At 42.2% G+C, this 13,878-nt stretch overlaps 1 protein-coding gene across 48 annotated transcripts in view, besides 4 other annotated features; it reads left to right on the top strand.

The window, feature by feature from the left end:
• Positions 8,679-8,948: an enhancer, noted in NCBI's record as "active region_20831". NCBI's record gives its function as "activates an Ori minimal core promoter by ATAC-STARR-seq in GM12878 lymphoblastoid cells {active_cell/tissue: GM12878}" and the evidence as "EXISTENCE:reporter gene assay evidence [ECO:0000049][PMID:35858748]".
• Positions 9,049-9,098: an enhancer, noted in NCBI's record as "active region_20832". NCBI's record gives its function as "activates an Ori minimal core promoter by ATAC-STARR-seq in GM12878 lymphoblastoid cells {active_cell/tissue: GM12878}" and the evidence as "EXISTENCE:reporter gene assay evidence [ECO:0000049][PMID:35858748]".
• Positions 9,119-9,378: an enhancer, noted in NCBI's record as "active region_20833". NCBI's record gives its function as "activates an Ori minimal core promoter by ATAC-STARR-seq in GM12878 lymphoblastoid cells {active_cell/tissue: GM12878}" and the evidence as "EXISTENCE:reporter gene assay evidence [ECO:0000049][PMID:35858748]".
• ECT2 (epithelial cell transforming 2) overlaps positions 9,143-13,878 on the top strand; it is a 78,540-nt gene continuing 73,804 nt past the window's right edge. For 12 of the 48 annotated variants that reach the window (XM_006713524.5, XM_047447631.1, XM_047447632.1 and 9 more), the window contains exons 1-3: positions 9,143-9,274; positions 12,926-13,077; positions 13,712-13,791. In XM_006713524.5, the coding sequence (XP_006713587.1) occupies positions 12,948-13,077; positions 13,712-13,791 (210 nt within the window). In that variant the 5' untranslated portion in view covers positions 9,143-9,274; positions 12,926-12,947. Of the gene's footprint in view, positions 9,275-9,418; positions 9,534-10,566; positions 10,890-12,925; positions 13,078-13,711; positions 13,792-13,878 lie in introns of those variants that run through there. The other 36 variants (XM_047447621.1, XM_047447633.1, NM_001349098.2 and 33 more) reach the window with 6 other exon arrangements.
• Positions 9,489-9,558: a silencer, noted in NCBI's record as "silent region_14899". NCBI's record gives its function as "represses an Ori minimal core promoter by ATAC-STARR-seq in GM12878 lymphoblastoid cells {active_cell/tissue: GM12878}" and the evidence as "EXISTENCE:reporter gene assay evidence [ECO:0000049][PMID:35858748]".

Raw genomic sequence — 13,878 nt, forward strand, 5'->3', positions numbered from 1 at the left:
TCACGCCATTCTCCTGCCTCAGCCTCCCGAGTAGCTGGGACTACAGGCGCGTGCCACCATGCCCGACTATTTTTTTTTTTTGTATTTTTAGTAGAGACGGGGTTTCACTGTGTTAGCCATGATGGTCTCGATCTCCTGATCTCGTGACCCGCCCGCCTCGGCCTCCCAAAGTGCTGGGATTACAGGCGTGAGCCACCGCGCCCAGCCTATAGTTGATATATATGTATTTATAATGTGATCACAATGACAAGTTCATTGTATATATCCTATACAAGCTTTAAACAGGTTTTGTCCCGTTGACATATGAATTCAATAATTATAATACTTCCAGCGAAGGGACCTGGAGGAGAGGCTAACATTTAACATAAGGAATCTTGGCTAGGATCTGTGTTGGAAGGGCACAGAAGACTGGCCAAGGGCCACAGCAAGCAGTCCACATCTTCCAGACAGGAGGAGACAGCTTAGGTGCAGCAAGGTTTCCCTGACAAACAAGAGGGTTTAGTAAGAATGTCTGAATCAAAAAAAAAAAAAAAAAAAAGAGGACTATTAGATTTGGTATAGAAGAAGGAACTGTGCCTCCTGGTGAGAAAAGAATTCAATGGTGGGTCAGGTGCGGTGGCTCATGCCTCTTATCCCAGCACTTTGGGAGGCCGAGGCGGGCGGATCACAAGGTCAGCTGTTTGAAATCACCCTTGCCAACATGGTGAAATCCCGTCTCTACTAAAAATACAAAAAAAAAAAAAAAAAAAAAAATTAGCTGGGCGTGGTGGCAGGTGCCTGTAGTCCCAGCTACTCAGGAGGCTGAGGCAGGAGAATCGCTTGAACCTGGGAGGCAGAGGTTGCAGTGAGCCGAGATCTTGCCACTGCATTTCAGCCTGGGTGACAGAGTGAGACTCCATCTCAAAAAAAAAAAAAGAATTTGATGGTGGTCTTTCCTGTGGCAGCCTTGGTGTTGTGGGGGCAGGTGTTGTGGATAGGGTAGGGTGGGGAGAGAGGAACAGCAGCACAGGTGCCATTGCTCCTGCGGTCAGGGGTGGGAAGGCAGCATAGAGAGCCACCATTTCCATCAGGCAATTACAGGTCAGCTGAGATAACATAGTAGTAAGAGTAGCAGCAACCATAATAGTAGCAGAAATAATGGTACTATTAACAGCTAACATCTATTGAATATTTACTATGTGCTAAAATGTTTCAATTATCTATATTAATTCCTTCAATTCTCATAACAATACTTTGAGATAAGTACTATCATATCCTTTTACAGAAGACCAAACTGAGGTATAGGGATGTAAAATAACTTGCTTAAGGTCACATGGCTAGGAAATGGAAAAGCCGGGTCGAAACCCAGGGAGTCGGGTTCCCTATTCTAAAGCTATAGAGCCTCTCAAGCAGACAGGGGAAGCCTATTGTAGAGAAGTGTTCGGGGACCCCAAGGTGTGAAATCTCTGCAAAGTGATGGTGGCCCAAGGAGAAGAGGCCCACTTGGGAATGACAGCGTGTGAGTCAAAGTGTCTGTACCTGGTAGTTGCACTGCAGAAGGGGCTGGCTAAGACAAAAAACCAGGGAAACGAAGAAGTATTGGGGAGCTGTTCAGGCTAAGAGACTAGGAGTGGGAAGCTCTTCAGTTCATGTCTGCACAGAGAGAAGTAAACAGTGTTGGTAGCTACTTTGAGGCAATTTGCATAAGCAATCTTGGAAAACTGACTTGGAAGAAATCAGGTTTCAGCAATTAAGCTATGGGGATTTAAGAGTGAAACATTAGCTCACGTTATTTTAAGCCACATTCCTTGAATATTACCCCCTGTTATACTTTGGATATTTGACACGCCAAACCTCATGTTGAATTGATCTCCAGTGTTAGAGGTGGCACTAATGGGAGGTGTTTGAGTTATGGAGGAGATCTCCCATGAATGGCTTGGTGCTGTTCTGGGAGTAATGAATGAGTTCTAGCTCTGTTAGTTCCTGCAAGAATTGGTTGTTTATAAGAGTCCAAGCCAGGTGTGGTGGCTCATGCCTGTAGTCCCAGCTGCTCAGGACTCTGAGGCAGGTGAGCCCGGAGTTTGAGGTTACAGTGAGCTATGATTAGCATTCCAGTCTGAACAACAGAGTGAGACCTTGTTTCTAAAAATGAGAGTATGGCCTCTGGCACCTCCATCCTCTCACTCTTGCCTCCTCTGTCACCATGTGATGCCTCTGCACAAAACAGCTCCCCTTCCATTTCCACCATGCGTGGAGGCTTCCAAAGGCCTCACCAGAAGCAGAGGCTGGCACTGTGTACAGCCTGCAGAACCATGAGCCATGAGGCCAGGAATGGTGGCTTACGCCTGTAATCCCAGCACCTTGGGAGGCTGAGGTGGGGAGATCACTTGAGGTCAGGAGTTCGAGACCAGCCTGGGCAACATGGTAAAACACTGTCTCTACTAAAAATATAAACATTAGCCAGGAGTGGTGGCATGTGCCTGTAATCTTAGCTACTAGGACGGCTGAGACAGGAGAATCACTTAAACCCGGCAAATGGAGGTTGCAGTGAGTCAAGATCACACCACTGCACTCCAGCCTGGATGACAGAGTGAGACTCCATCTTAAAAAAAAAAATTGTTTTAGAGTGGGATCTCACTCTGTCACCTAGGCTGGAGTGCAGTGGTGCAATCATGGCTCACTGCAGCCTTGAACTCCTGGGCTCAAGTGATCCTCCCACTTCAGCCTCCTGAGTAGCTGAGATTACAGGCACATGCCAGTATGGCCAGCTAGGTATCCCTTTATAGCAATGAAATGGGCTAAGATACCCCATAATCATGGGGAAAGAGTTATCACATATTTTTAGGAAACATAGGGTTAGCCAGGTGTGATGGCTTATGCCTTGTAATTCCAGTGACTCAGGAGGCTGAGGTGGGAGGATTGCTTGAGCCCAGAAGTTCGAGACTAGTGTGGGCCAAACAGCGAGACACCATCTCTTGAAATTAAAAAAAAAAAAAAATTAGGTGGGTATGGTGGCACACACCTATAGTCCCAGCTACTCGGGAGGTTCAAGTGGGAGGATTGCTTAAGCCCAGGAGTTCCCAAGAGTTTGAGACTGCAGTGAGCTATAATGGTGCCACTGCCCTCTAGCTTGAGTGACAGAGCAAACTCCATCTCACCTCAAAAAAAAAAAAAAAAAAAGAGCAAGAGAAACACATAGGGTTAGAAAGCATGTTCTAATATTTAGTATGCAGATAATTTATTCCAATTTATACACAAAACCGTAACCAAGTTAATAAGTAGAAATATGCAGTAATAAGTCAACATGAACTTACTGACCTATTTTGATATCATGAACAATTGATAAAGCAACAGTAACAAGTAGAGAAGGAGTATTCATGGCTGCTAATTTACCGATGGAAAAAAAAGATGCAGAAACCCCAGCCAGCCTCTGACATGAAATAAGATATGGACAGAAATCAAACTACTAAAAAATCTGGTTATTTTCCCTTCTTTCCTCTTTTCCATAATTTTTTTTTTTTTGAGATGGGGTCGTGCTCTGCTGCCCAGGCTAGAGTGTAGTGGCTTGATCTCAGCTCACTGCAACCTCTGCCTCCTGGGCTCAAGAGACCTTCCCACCCCATCCCCCCACTCTGAGCAGCTGGGACCACAGAAGTGCATCACTATGCCCAGCTAATTTTTTGTAGTTTTGGTAGTGATGGGGTTTCTCCATGTTGCCACAGGCTGGTCTCAAACTCCTGAGCTCAAATGATCCGCCCACCTCAGCCCCCAAAGTACTGGGATTACAGGGGTGAGCCACCGTGCCCAGCCTCCATAGATATTTTTTGAGAGCACAAGTGCCAGGGTACAAAGATGGAAAGGATATGGTTCTTTTCCCTATTCTTGAGTAGCTCATATTTTAATAGAGGAGACAGCCATGTTAACCAATATTTCCAATACAAGGTGACAGGAGCCATACTGAGGTATAAACAGTATTAAGCTCATACAAATCAGAAGAAGCAGTTTACTCTCCATGGGATAGTCAAAGAAGGCTTCATTGAGGTGATGCTTGAGTGGGGTCCTGAATGAATAGGAATTTTCATGCAGACAGAGGGAGGCAGGGCAGGTGGAAAAGAATATTCAAAGGTAGGGATTTAGGAAATCGCCTGGAATGTTTGTGGACTGACGAAAAGTTCAGTATGGCTGAACACAGGGTGCGTATGTGGTAGGGATGAGGGTGATAGAAAATTAGGTTACAGTCATCTTGGGAAGTCCATCTTATACTGGACTTTATTCTGTGAGCAGTGAAGAAACCATGTCTTTTGGTTTAGTTTTGTTTTTAAGGAGGGGGATACATAGTCATATTTAGTTTTCTAAATGAAGATAATTCTGTGACTGATGACTGGAAGTAGAGAGAGTGATTAGTTCCCAAAAGACCAACTAGAAGGCTGTCCTTGTCATAGTTTGGATGAGAGATAATGAAGGCCTAAACTCGGGCAGTGGACTGAAGGGGGAAGATTCAGATTCTAGAAATATTTTTCAGGTCAAATTGGGAGAATGGTGTTGGGGTTGGTGGTGCAGGGAGACCAAGAGGAGGAAGGGAACAGGAAGATGACTTTGAGAGATCCAACTTGGGAGTCAGAGTGAATGGGGATTCTACTAATCAGGAGAGAAATACAAGAGGCAGAGGAGATAAAGGATGGAGAGCTGGGGAAAAGAAGAATTCACTTTAGCACATGAAGAGTTTGATAGGATTGTGGGTCACAGGAGCAGAAAAAATTGGTAAACAACTGGCATTATAGAGTGGGTTTCAACAAGGTCTGGCAAGAAAGAGAGACGTGGAAGCATATGCATATAACTTAAATCCCTGGGAATGAATGAGTTCACCTAGGGAAAGGGGGTTGCCTGAGAATAATACTTTGGGGAACAATAATATCTAAGCAAAGGAAACCGAGAAGGAAACATCAGAGAGGCAGGAAGAGAAGTAAGACAGTGAAAGTGGTGGTCTTTCAGCAGCTGAATTAATGACCATGGGTTAGAAAGGGGTGCTATCATTAGGGGGAACTGAAGGCTAAATATCCTTGATTCATGTGTGAAAGGGATTAAGAGATGGGAAGAAAATTTCGTAATCAGAATGGAATGTTTGAAGTTAACATTTGAGAGCTAAAGCAATTGAGTGTAAAACATTTAGGATATTGTCCATCAAAATAAGTGTTGAATTGAGGTTTTGGGATTCAAAAATTCAAGGAACTGTGAATCTAATTGGCTGGTTCATCAAAGGAAGAAAGACAGAGAACTAGTCTTCTGAATTTGGAAACTGTTCTATTTATTTAATGATACTGCTATTTATCAGAAATTTATATGGATGTAGTAATTTTTACATATTTTGATTCCACTCTCATCCTCTATATTTAATCAAAGTCCCAGTAATTTTTCCTATTCCTTATCTCTCCAACCCATCTTTTCTATCTTAGTTCAGACTATCATTTCCTATGAGTTTGAATTCAACCATATTCTCACTGGTCTTTCTTCTATTTCATTCTTCTATTTCAAGTGAAGTTGTGTTGTGTTCCCAGATTGCTACTTTTTTTTTTTTTTTTTTTTGAGACGGAGTCTCGCTCTGTTGCCCAGGCTGGAGTGCAGTCGCGTGATCTCGGCTCACTGCAAGCTCCGCCTCCTGGGTTGAAGTGATTCTCCTGCCTCAGCCTCTGGAGTAGCTGGGCCTACAGGTGCGCACCACCACGCCCGGCTAACTTTTGTAGTTTTCTTAGAGACGGGGTTTCACCATATTGGCCAGGGTGGTCTCGAACTCCTGACCTCAGGTGATCCGCCCGTCTTGGGCTCCCAAAGTGCTGGGATTACAGATGTCAGCCACTGTGTCTGGTCCTGATCGCTACTTTTAAAAAATAACACAGACCATATAATTTCCTTGCTTCAAGGTTTTTAATTGATCTTCAGTGCTTTCAGCATAAAGTTTAAACTCTGTCATGACAGTGGAGCTCTTCCCAAGCTCCTTCTAACATGGCATTTATTTTACTTTTTATTTTTTATTTTTTGAGATGAAGTCTCGCTCTGTCGCCCAAGCTGGAGTGCAGTGGCGCAATCTCTGCTCACTGCAAGCTCCGCCTCCCGGGTTCACGCCATTCTCCTGCCTCGGCCTCCCGAGTAGCTGGGACTACAGGCGCGTGCCACCACGCCCGGCTAATTTTTTTGTATTTTTAGTAGAGACAGGATTTCACCATGTTAGCCAGGATGGTCTCGATCTCCTGACCTCGTGATCCGCCCGCCTGGGCCTTCCAAAGGCATGTAATCTCATGCCTGGGATTACAGGCATGAGCCACTGCACCTGGCCAGCATTTATTTTTTTTTGAGATGGGGGCTGGATGGTGGGGGGGAGGGGCGGTCTTGCTCTATCGCCCAGGATGGAGTGCAGTCACTACCTAGGCTGGTCTTGAACTCCCGGCTTCAAGGGATCCTCCTGCCTTAGTCTCCCAAAGTGCTGGAATTATAGGCATGAGCCCCCACACCTAGCCTAACCTAGCGTATGTCAGTTGTCTTCCACTGTCCTCTTCATGTATATTATGATCCAGCCACACCAAACTGTTTACTGTCTCCTATATATATTGAGCTTTTATGAGAGCCTAAAGTGCACGTAAACAAGCTAATATTAAGAATTTATGTTTTTAAAAAAGTTCAAGGTTAATATGCCATTCAGTTCAATTGCCTATGCCGTATATAGTATTTAAAAATTTTTCATAATGCTGATCTTGAAACACTATAGCACTTGAAACAGCTTCTGACTCAGTAAGACTAAGTTACTTGTATCATTGTTTTGTAGGTATTTGAATTCTGTGAAAACCTATGCATGCAATAAATTTTTCACCGCAAATACAGCTATCTGCTAGAAGTGCCATGAGAACAAGGCCCATATTTGTCTTGTCACACCTATATTCTCAGTGCTAGCATAGTACCTAATGGGTGCTTAATAGTTATTAAATGAATAAACTATGATTAGGTTAATCAGGACATCCAGTCTCTCAAACATTATGAATGAACTTGGATCTAGCTCATTCACTCTCGAAATATTTATTTGGTACCTACATGTGAAGATTCCTGTGTTTATTAGAGAGCAATGTGTAACATTTGCCTTTGCAGTACTAGCTTTTTGAAAATACCTGAAGATGAGGGATCATGTTTTACTTTACCAGACACCAGCCCTCTGCTAGGTGCAATTAAGTGGCATATGATCACCTATGCACACGATTATCTGAAATACTCCTCTCCACATTGCTTTCTTTGAGCCTGCAGACAGATCTATACTAGACTTTATTTACACTCATCTATTATTTCTGGGTTCTAATGCGGGCTAAAATATTTATTAGGAGACACTGGGTAAGTTACTTAAACCTTTCCTACAGTTTCATGGTATCATGGGACTATGATACCTACTTGTGGGTTGTTTTAAGGATTAAATAAGGTATAAAGTGCATAGTAAAGTATCAGTATGTTCATTCTCTTTCTTCTCTCCCTTATACTGTAATTATCTGTTTATCTGCTAATTTCCCTCACCAGATTGTGTGGTCCAGACAGGCAGTTTTCTATGCCTTATTCATCTTTATAACCCCAACAAGCACAATGGCTGTCTTAAAATTAGTAAATATTTGCTGAGTAAATGAAGACCTAAGAGAGTGAAAAAGGTTGTATTACCCGTTTATTTGTTAATCTAACTGCCACACATCCCTTAAAAGAAATCAAGTACAGCTTTTGTTAGGGAAGCTTAAAATTCATGGCAATGATACCATACACAGTTAATCATTAGCTTTGGAAAGTCTGTTGAGCAGAAAGCGGTGCACAAAGGAAGTAGGGCTGCTTCCCACAATAGCTTAATATGTTTTCAGTGATGAACGTTTTTGGAATGCTGGGCACACCCGACTTCCAAATACGCAAGCACATTCCAAATGGAAATTTCAATTACTGTTTTTCTTTTTTTCTGCCGTAACAGTTATCACAGCATTTTAATGAAGGTCAGACTTAAATACTGACAAGCAGGGAAACCAATAATTACCAGATTGCTTCATTCATTTTGTGGACAGCATTATAAACTTTTCAGGCATTCTAAGATTGCCTGACAAAATTAGAAAAAATTGTTAAGTCCCCACAACCTGCTTGAGATGCTCACAAGTGTTCCATCCCAAAGTACACGTTTGCCTCTTCTTATTGGTATTTAGGTTCTGGCATCTGATTCCCCTTTCTTCTTCTATTTATATTAGCCTTCAGGTGGGAACTATGGAAAACCCACCTGGTGGGGGTGTATTTTTCTTAAGAGATTGTGTTATATGGTATCATATTTAGAAAATAAAGAAATTATTTTCATAATAGCAACGCTAATCACAGGAAAAACTTGATACATTCTTGACTAGACTTTAGGGGAAAGTACAAGTTCTTAGTGGGCGGAGGGGGGCAAAGACGAAGCAATTTGGCTCCAAAAATTCTAGAATCTCGTGGCATATTTTTATCAAATTCAAGCTTATCTTTAAAAAAATCCGAGAATTTTTCTAATTTCTAAGAATTGATTCTAACCCGCGATACTCCCTAGATGGGAGCGCAGTGCTTTAAATAATAGCATTTAAATAAGCGGCTGCTGATTTGAAGTCCACCTGGGGAGTCCGAGTTCTAGGACCGGTCCTTGGCCCTGCCACACGCCAATACAACCATCAAAGTCAAAATCCCTTAACTCAAATTTAAATACATTCCTAAAGCAGAAAGCATCCCGATAGGAAAATCCTACAGCTCACAGCAAGCAGCAGGGAAACATTTATCTCTGGCGGCACTGATTTAAGCTTAAAAGATTTGGTATCGTTTAAAAAAAAAAAAAAGCTGGGTGGGGCCGAGGAGAATCCACCCAAACTTTCCTCAGGAAGTAGGATGTTTACTGAGTAAATATGCGGTAGTCACAGAAACACCTGCTACTCCTTTAAGACCTCAGGAGCCACCACCGCCACCTCCTGGCCACATCCGGGCACTTCTCTGCAAACTCCTGGCGTCCCGACGCCCGAGTCGTTGGGCTTATTTGAAACACACGCACAACCAATCAAGCGGCGCCTGCCGGGACTTGGAGAGCGTCGACCAATCACCGCCCCTCTGGAGACTCCTGCCTATGGGAAAGAGGTTGACATCACGCGCCAATCGGCATGGCTCTTAGAGAGAGCAGCTTAGTTTTTGAATCGGTTGTGGCGGCCGCCGGCGAGGAATGGCGGTATTTGTGAGAGGAGTCGGCGTTTGAAGAGGTGGAACTCCTAGGGCTTTTTTGAGAGTGGTAAGGACTCTGTGTGAGTGAGAGAGGTGCAAGTGGGCGAGCGGCTCCAGAGCCAAGGGCTCTTTTGCCTGCGGTCGACGTCCCCGCCCCTAGTGACCGCGAATTCCGGAGCGCCCCAGCTCAGGCTTCCCGGATCCGGGAACTCCCTCGCCGCACCCCACCCCCAGCAGCCGGGCCCTGACGCGGAGTGGGAGACCGAAGCCCCCAGTATTGCTGGGCATCTTCGCCCTCACCTGTTGGCTCTTTTGGACAGAAGAGTGTGGGTGAAGGGAGGGAGTTGGGAAAGGGATTTTGGCAAGCCGCGCAGCCCTGTGGCTTTGGGGGCCGGCACTTGCAGCCTTTGGGGGCTTATCTCAGAGTGCGCCGTGGTTTTATTCTAGGATTCATCCTGGCTTCTTTGCGGGAAGTTTAATTTTTCGTTTTTGCAAGATAAATCCAGGCCATCCGCCCCTCGTCCTCCCCAGCCACCCGGCACAGATGTGTCCGGCTTAGTGGTTAAAGGCGCAGCCTCTGGATTTAGCCGGGCTTTGAATACCTCTTTTACCCCTTACTAACAGTTTGACTTAGGGGAAGTTGCTTAACCTCTCTGTTCCTACGTTTCTTCATCCATACATTGAAAATAATAATAGTACCTGCCTCTTAGGATTACTGCAGAGATTAAAAGGTTTAGGACAATGTCTGCCACGTATTAAGCGTTAAGTAAATGTCAGTTGTTAATAGTAATGTTATTGTTAATAACACCACCATTATATCTTGGATTGCATTTTAGTCCTTCACCTTGGAAGATGATTGCCTAAAAAGTATTTAAGTAAAAGGAAACTTGAATGTTTGTTTACATGGCAAATTTTATCTCTGGGATAAAAGGGGGCATGTGTTATAGTGTGTTTAGTTAGAAGCTCCTTGGGTCTGTTCTTGGGTGAGAAGCTGTGTAGGTTTATGAACACTGATCCTATTGTGCTTATTTTAAAGGCTTCTGGAATACAGTAATTTGAAAAAAAGTGATTAATATATTTCCATTTCTAATCTGACTGTTGGATGTTAGTTATGTCATCAAGTTACCGTAGTGCATCTCTTTTTCTCTATACATTTTGAAGCTGTTTTGGCAATAAATTGATCATATACAGTATCATCAGGGGCAATTTTAATTATTAATCATCTGCTTTCGATCATCTGCTATGCTCCCTCCCTTTTATTAATCATCTGCTTTTGATCATTTGCTGTGCTCCCTCTTAAAGAGGGAGGCATAGGAGAAAAATGTAAATATTTTCAAGAAGTTTTTTTTTTTTTTTTAGACGGAGTCTACCTCTTGTTACCTAGACTGGAGTGCAGTGGCACGATCTCGGCTCACTGCAACCTCTGCCTCCCGGGTTCAAGCGATTCTCCTGCCTCAGCCTCCTGAGTAGCTGGGATTACAGGTGCCTGCCACCAAGCCCAGCTAATTTTTGTATTTTTAGTAGAGACGGGGTTTCATTGTGTTGGCCAGGCTGGTCTCGAACTCCTGACCTCGTGATCCGCCCGCCTTGGCCTCCCAAAGTGCTAGGATTACAAGTGTGAGCCACCGCGTCCGGCCTTTCAAATGGTATTTTTGATTTTCCTCTTCCAGTCCTTAAAGCAGGTTAGCTCATCTCCTGACTTTTTTTTTTTTTTAAACATTCTTTTAAGGGGACTTTGAATGAAAGCCACTTTAATGCCTTTTCATTGGAAATGGTTGAGTGTAGAAGACTTAAAATAATAGGGCTGGATAGAATTTATCATTGATTCTAAATTAAGGCTGTTACAACTATTGGACCGCTCCTTTGGAGAGCCTTAGAATAATGATTGACATGGATGTATGGTAAAGCCATAAGAAATATCCATATTGTGAATATTACATGAGAATAGTTGTTTGTTGTTCACTTTAAGACATCTATTCAGTTTTCATCTTAACTAGATTTGAGTTGTAGTACTATGTGTGTTCCACCAATGTGGAAACTGAGGTTTAACTGACTATGTGCAGGGCTGAGACAGGAAGCTGAGTTGCCTGATTTTGAAGTGTCACATAACAGCATACAGTTTAAACTGTTACTTTGCTAAGACTCTGGAGGAAGGTATTTGTATATTTTATTAATCTGAAGAAGTAGGAAAGGGGAAAGTCTGACATGTAGCTCTCGTTAAAGGTGGGTCCTCTGTATATTTGCCTAATATTTAGAAATTTACTCTCAGTAAAGTTGACTTATTGAAAATTGATAAAAAAATCTCTAAAAAAATTTTTTTAGAGAGACAGGGTCTTGCTCTGTCACCTAGACTGACTGGAGTGCAGTGGTGGGATCACAGCTCACTACAACCTCAAACTCCTGGATTCAAGTGATTCGCCCACCTCAGCCTCTTGAGTAGCTACTATAGGCACCTGCCACCCACACCTGGCTAATTTTTAAATTTTTTGTAGAGATGGGGTCTTGCTATGTTGCCCAGTCTGGTGTTGAAGTCCTGCCCTCAAGTGATCCTCCTGCCTTGGCCTCCCAAAGTGCTGGGATTTCAGATGTGAGCCCCCAACCCACCCTGATGAAAACTTGTTAAACCTTTTATTCCCTGTCTAGCTTTTAAACTCTTCTTAAGTCCTGGAAAACTTAAAAAAGGATTTTCTTTCATAGTCCAGAGTTATATTGGCACTCACCCATGCATAATTGTTTTGTCAAACCTTTTAGGGGAGAGGTGTTTTTAAAGAATTATGAAAATACTGACAAGGGACCAGCCCAATTATACCGGAGAGGTTTAGAGACATCCACAGAGGATGAGTCAAGAGTGTTGGATTGGGGGTTGGAAGACAAGATAGGTGGAGAGTCGAGCACTAAATGCAAATAGATGTGATGTAAATTATGATTTGTGCCTGAAAAATAGCTGAGAAATTCATTGTTGCTGTTGCATAGATTGTATAGGGACTGGGGTAGTTACAGATGGTGAGGGTGAATAGTTAGGCGGGGACCAAATTGTGAACTTGGTGGTGAATTTGGACTTGGACATATAAGGAGTACTCATGGAAGTTGTTAAGCAGGGAAGTGATATGGTCACATTTGTATTTAGGTGCATATTCCTGAAAACCATGTGGAGAGTGATTTCTAAGGAAACTGATGGTAAAGTTGTGTGGAGCTGGTTTATTAGACCAAGTGACCATTGTGTCATTGAACGTATAGAGAAGGGGGGCCAGATTCCAGAGATACTTGAGGTGGGATTGATAGGAATTTTGGGGAGGGAAATGTGGGAGAGGAAAAAATTAGGATAGATCTCAGATTTTTGGCTAGGATTTTTGTGGGAGGTGTGTTATGGTGGTGTTATAATTGAATATAGGAAGAGAAATTGGTTGAGGGCAAAGGTGTGGAGAAGGGAGGTAGAATAATATTTATGACTACAGTTGAGTGTTTGTTGTATGTCTAGTAATGTTCTATGTGCTTTTGATACATTGTTATTTTTATTATATTCCTGTGAGTCAGGTATTAGTATGTTTATTTTACAGAAAAAGAAACTGAGGCTCAGAGAAGGTCAGTGACTTTCTTTGGTTCATTAAAAAAATGGGTAATAATACTTTTTATAAATTCTAGGTAAAAAGAGCCTCTAATACTTACTTTTGCCCAATGACCATGTTTATGTATTTTTATTCAAATTTTATTTTTTCAGCTGATTTAGAAGAATACAAATCATGGCTGAAAATAGTGTATTAACATCCACTACTGGGAGGACTAGCTTGGCAGACTCTTCCATTTTTGATTCTAAAGTTACTGAGATTTCCAAGGAAAACTTACTTATTGGATCTACTTCATATGTAGAAGGTAAACCTGTTACCTGCTTTAAAACAATCAATTTCTATTTTAATTCTAAACTTATTAGTGACTTTCTTAAGATTTAATTTTAATACCAACTGTAATGCTAGAGCACAGGTATTAAGTAAATATTTGTTTACAGAATCCTTTTACACTATGTCATTTTTCTGATTATTATTTGGGTTATTTGTATGCTTTGCAGCTTTGAAAAGGGAGGCATCTTAATTTGGATATTCCTTTTTCTGTATGTGAGGGCGGTCTAGCTACAGCATTATTAGCTAGAAGTTATACAGTCATGACTGGTTAGGTGAAAGCTACTTTTTCCTTTACCACTTTATAAATGGGTTTTTCCTAAAATTATATGCACTGTTGAGGAGGATGACTATGTAAGATAGCGCATTCTCTGGCTAGGAGGAATGCTGATGTTTGTATACCCTGCTACAATATGGTTTCTCTTTCTCTAAAGTGATATATAGCCAGATATTTTTGTAATAAGTTGGGAGTTGAGTCCTATTAAATTTAGAGAAAGTTATGATTCCCTCAAAGATGTAATACATACTAGATATAGCCAAAAGAGCGATAAGGACCTACTGATTGTGATGTTAATACATGATAAACATTGAAACATTTTACATTTTAACAGAAGAGATGCCTCAGATTGAAACAAGAGTGATATTGGTTCAAGAAGCTGGAAAACAAGAAGAACTTATAAAAGCCTTAAAGGTACGGAGTTTTAGGTTTTAGTTTTTTTTGTAATGCAATTTTTCTTCCATCAGTGTGTAAATAGTTTCATAGCTTTCTTAACCTCAT

This window comes from Homo sapiens, chromosome 3 (genome assembly GCF_000001405.40).
Source record: "Homo sapiens chromosome 3, GRCh38.p14 Primary Assembly".
Taxonomy (NCBI): Eukaryota; Metazoa; Chordata; class Mammalia; order Primates; family Hominidae; genus Homo; species Homo sapiens.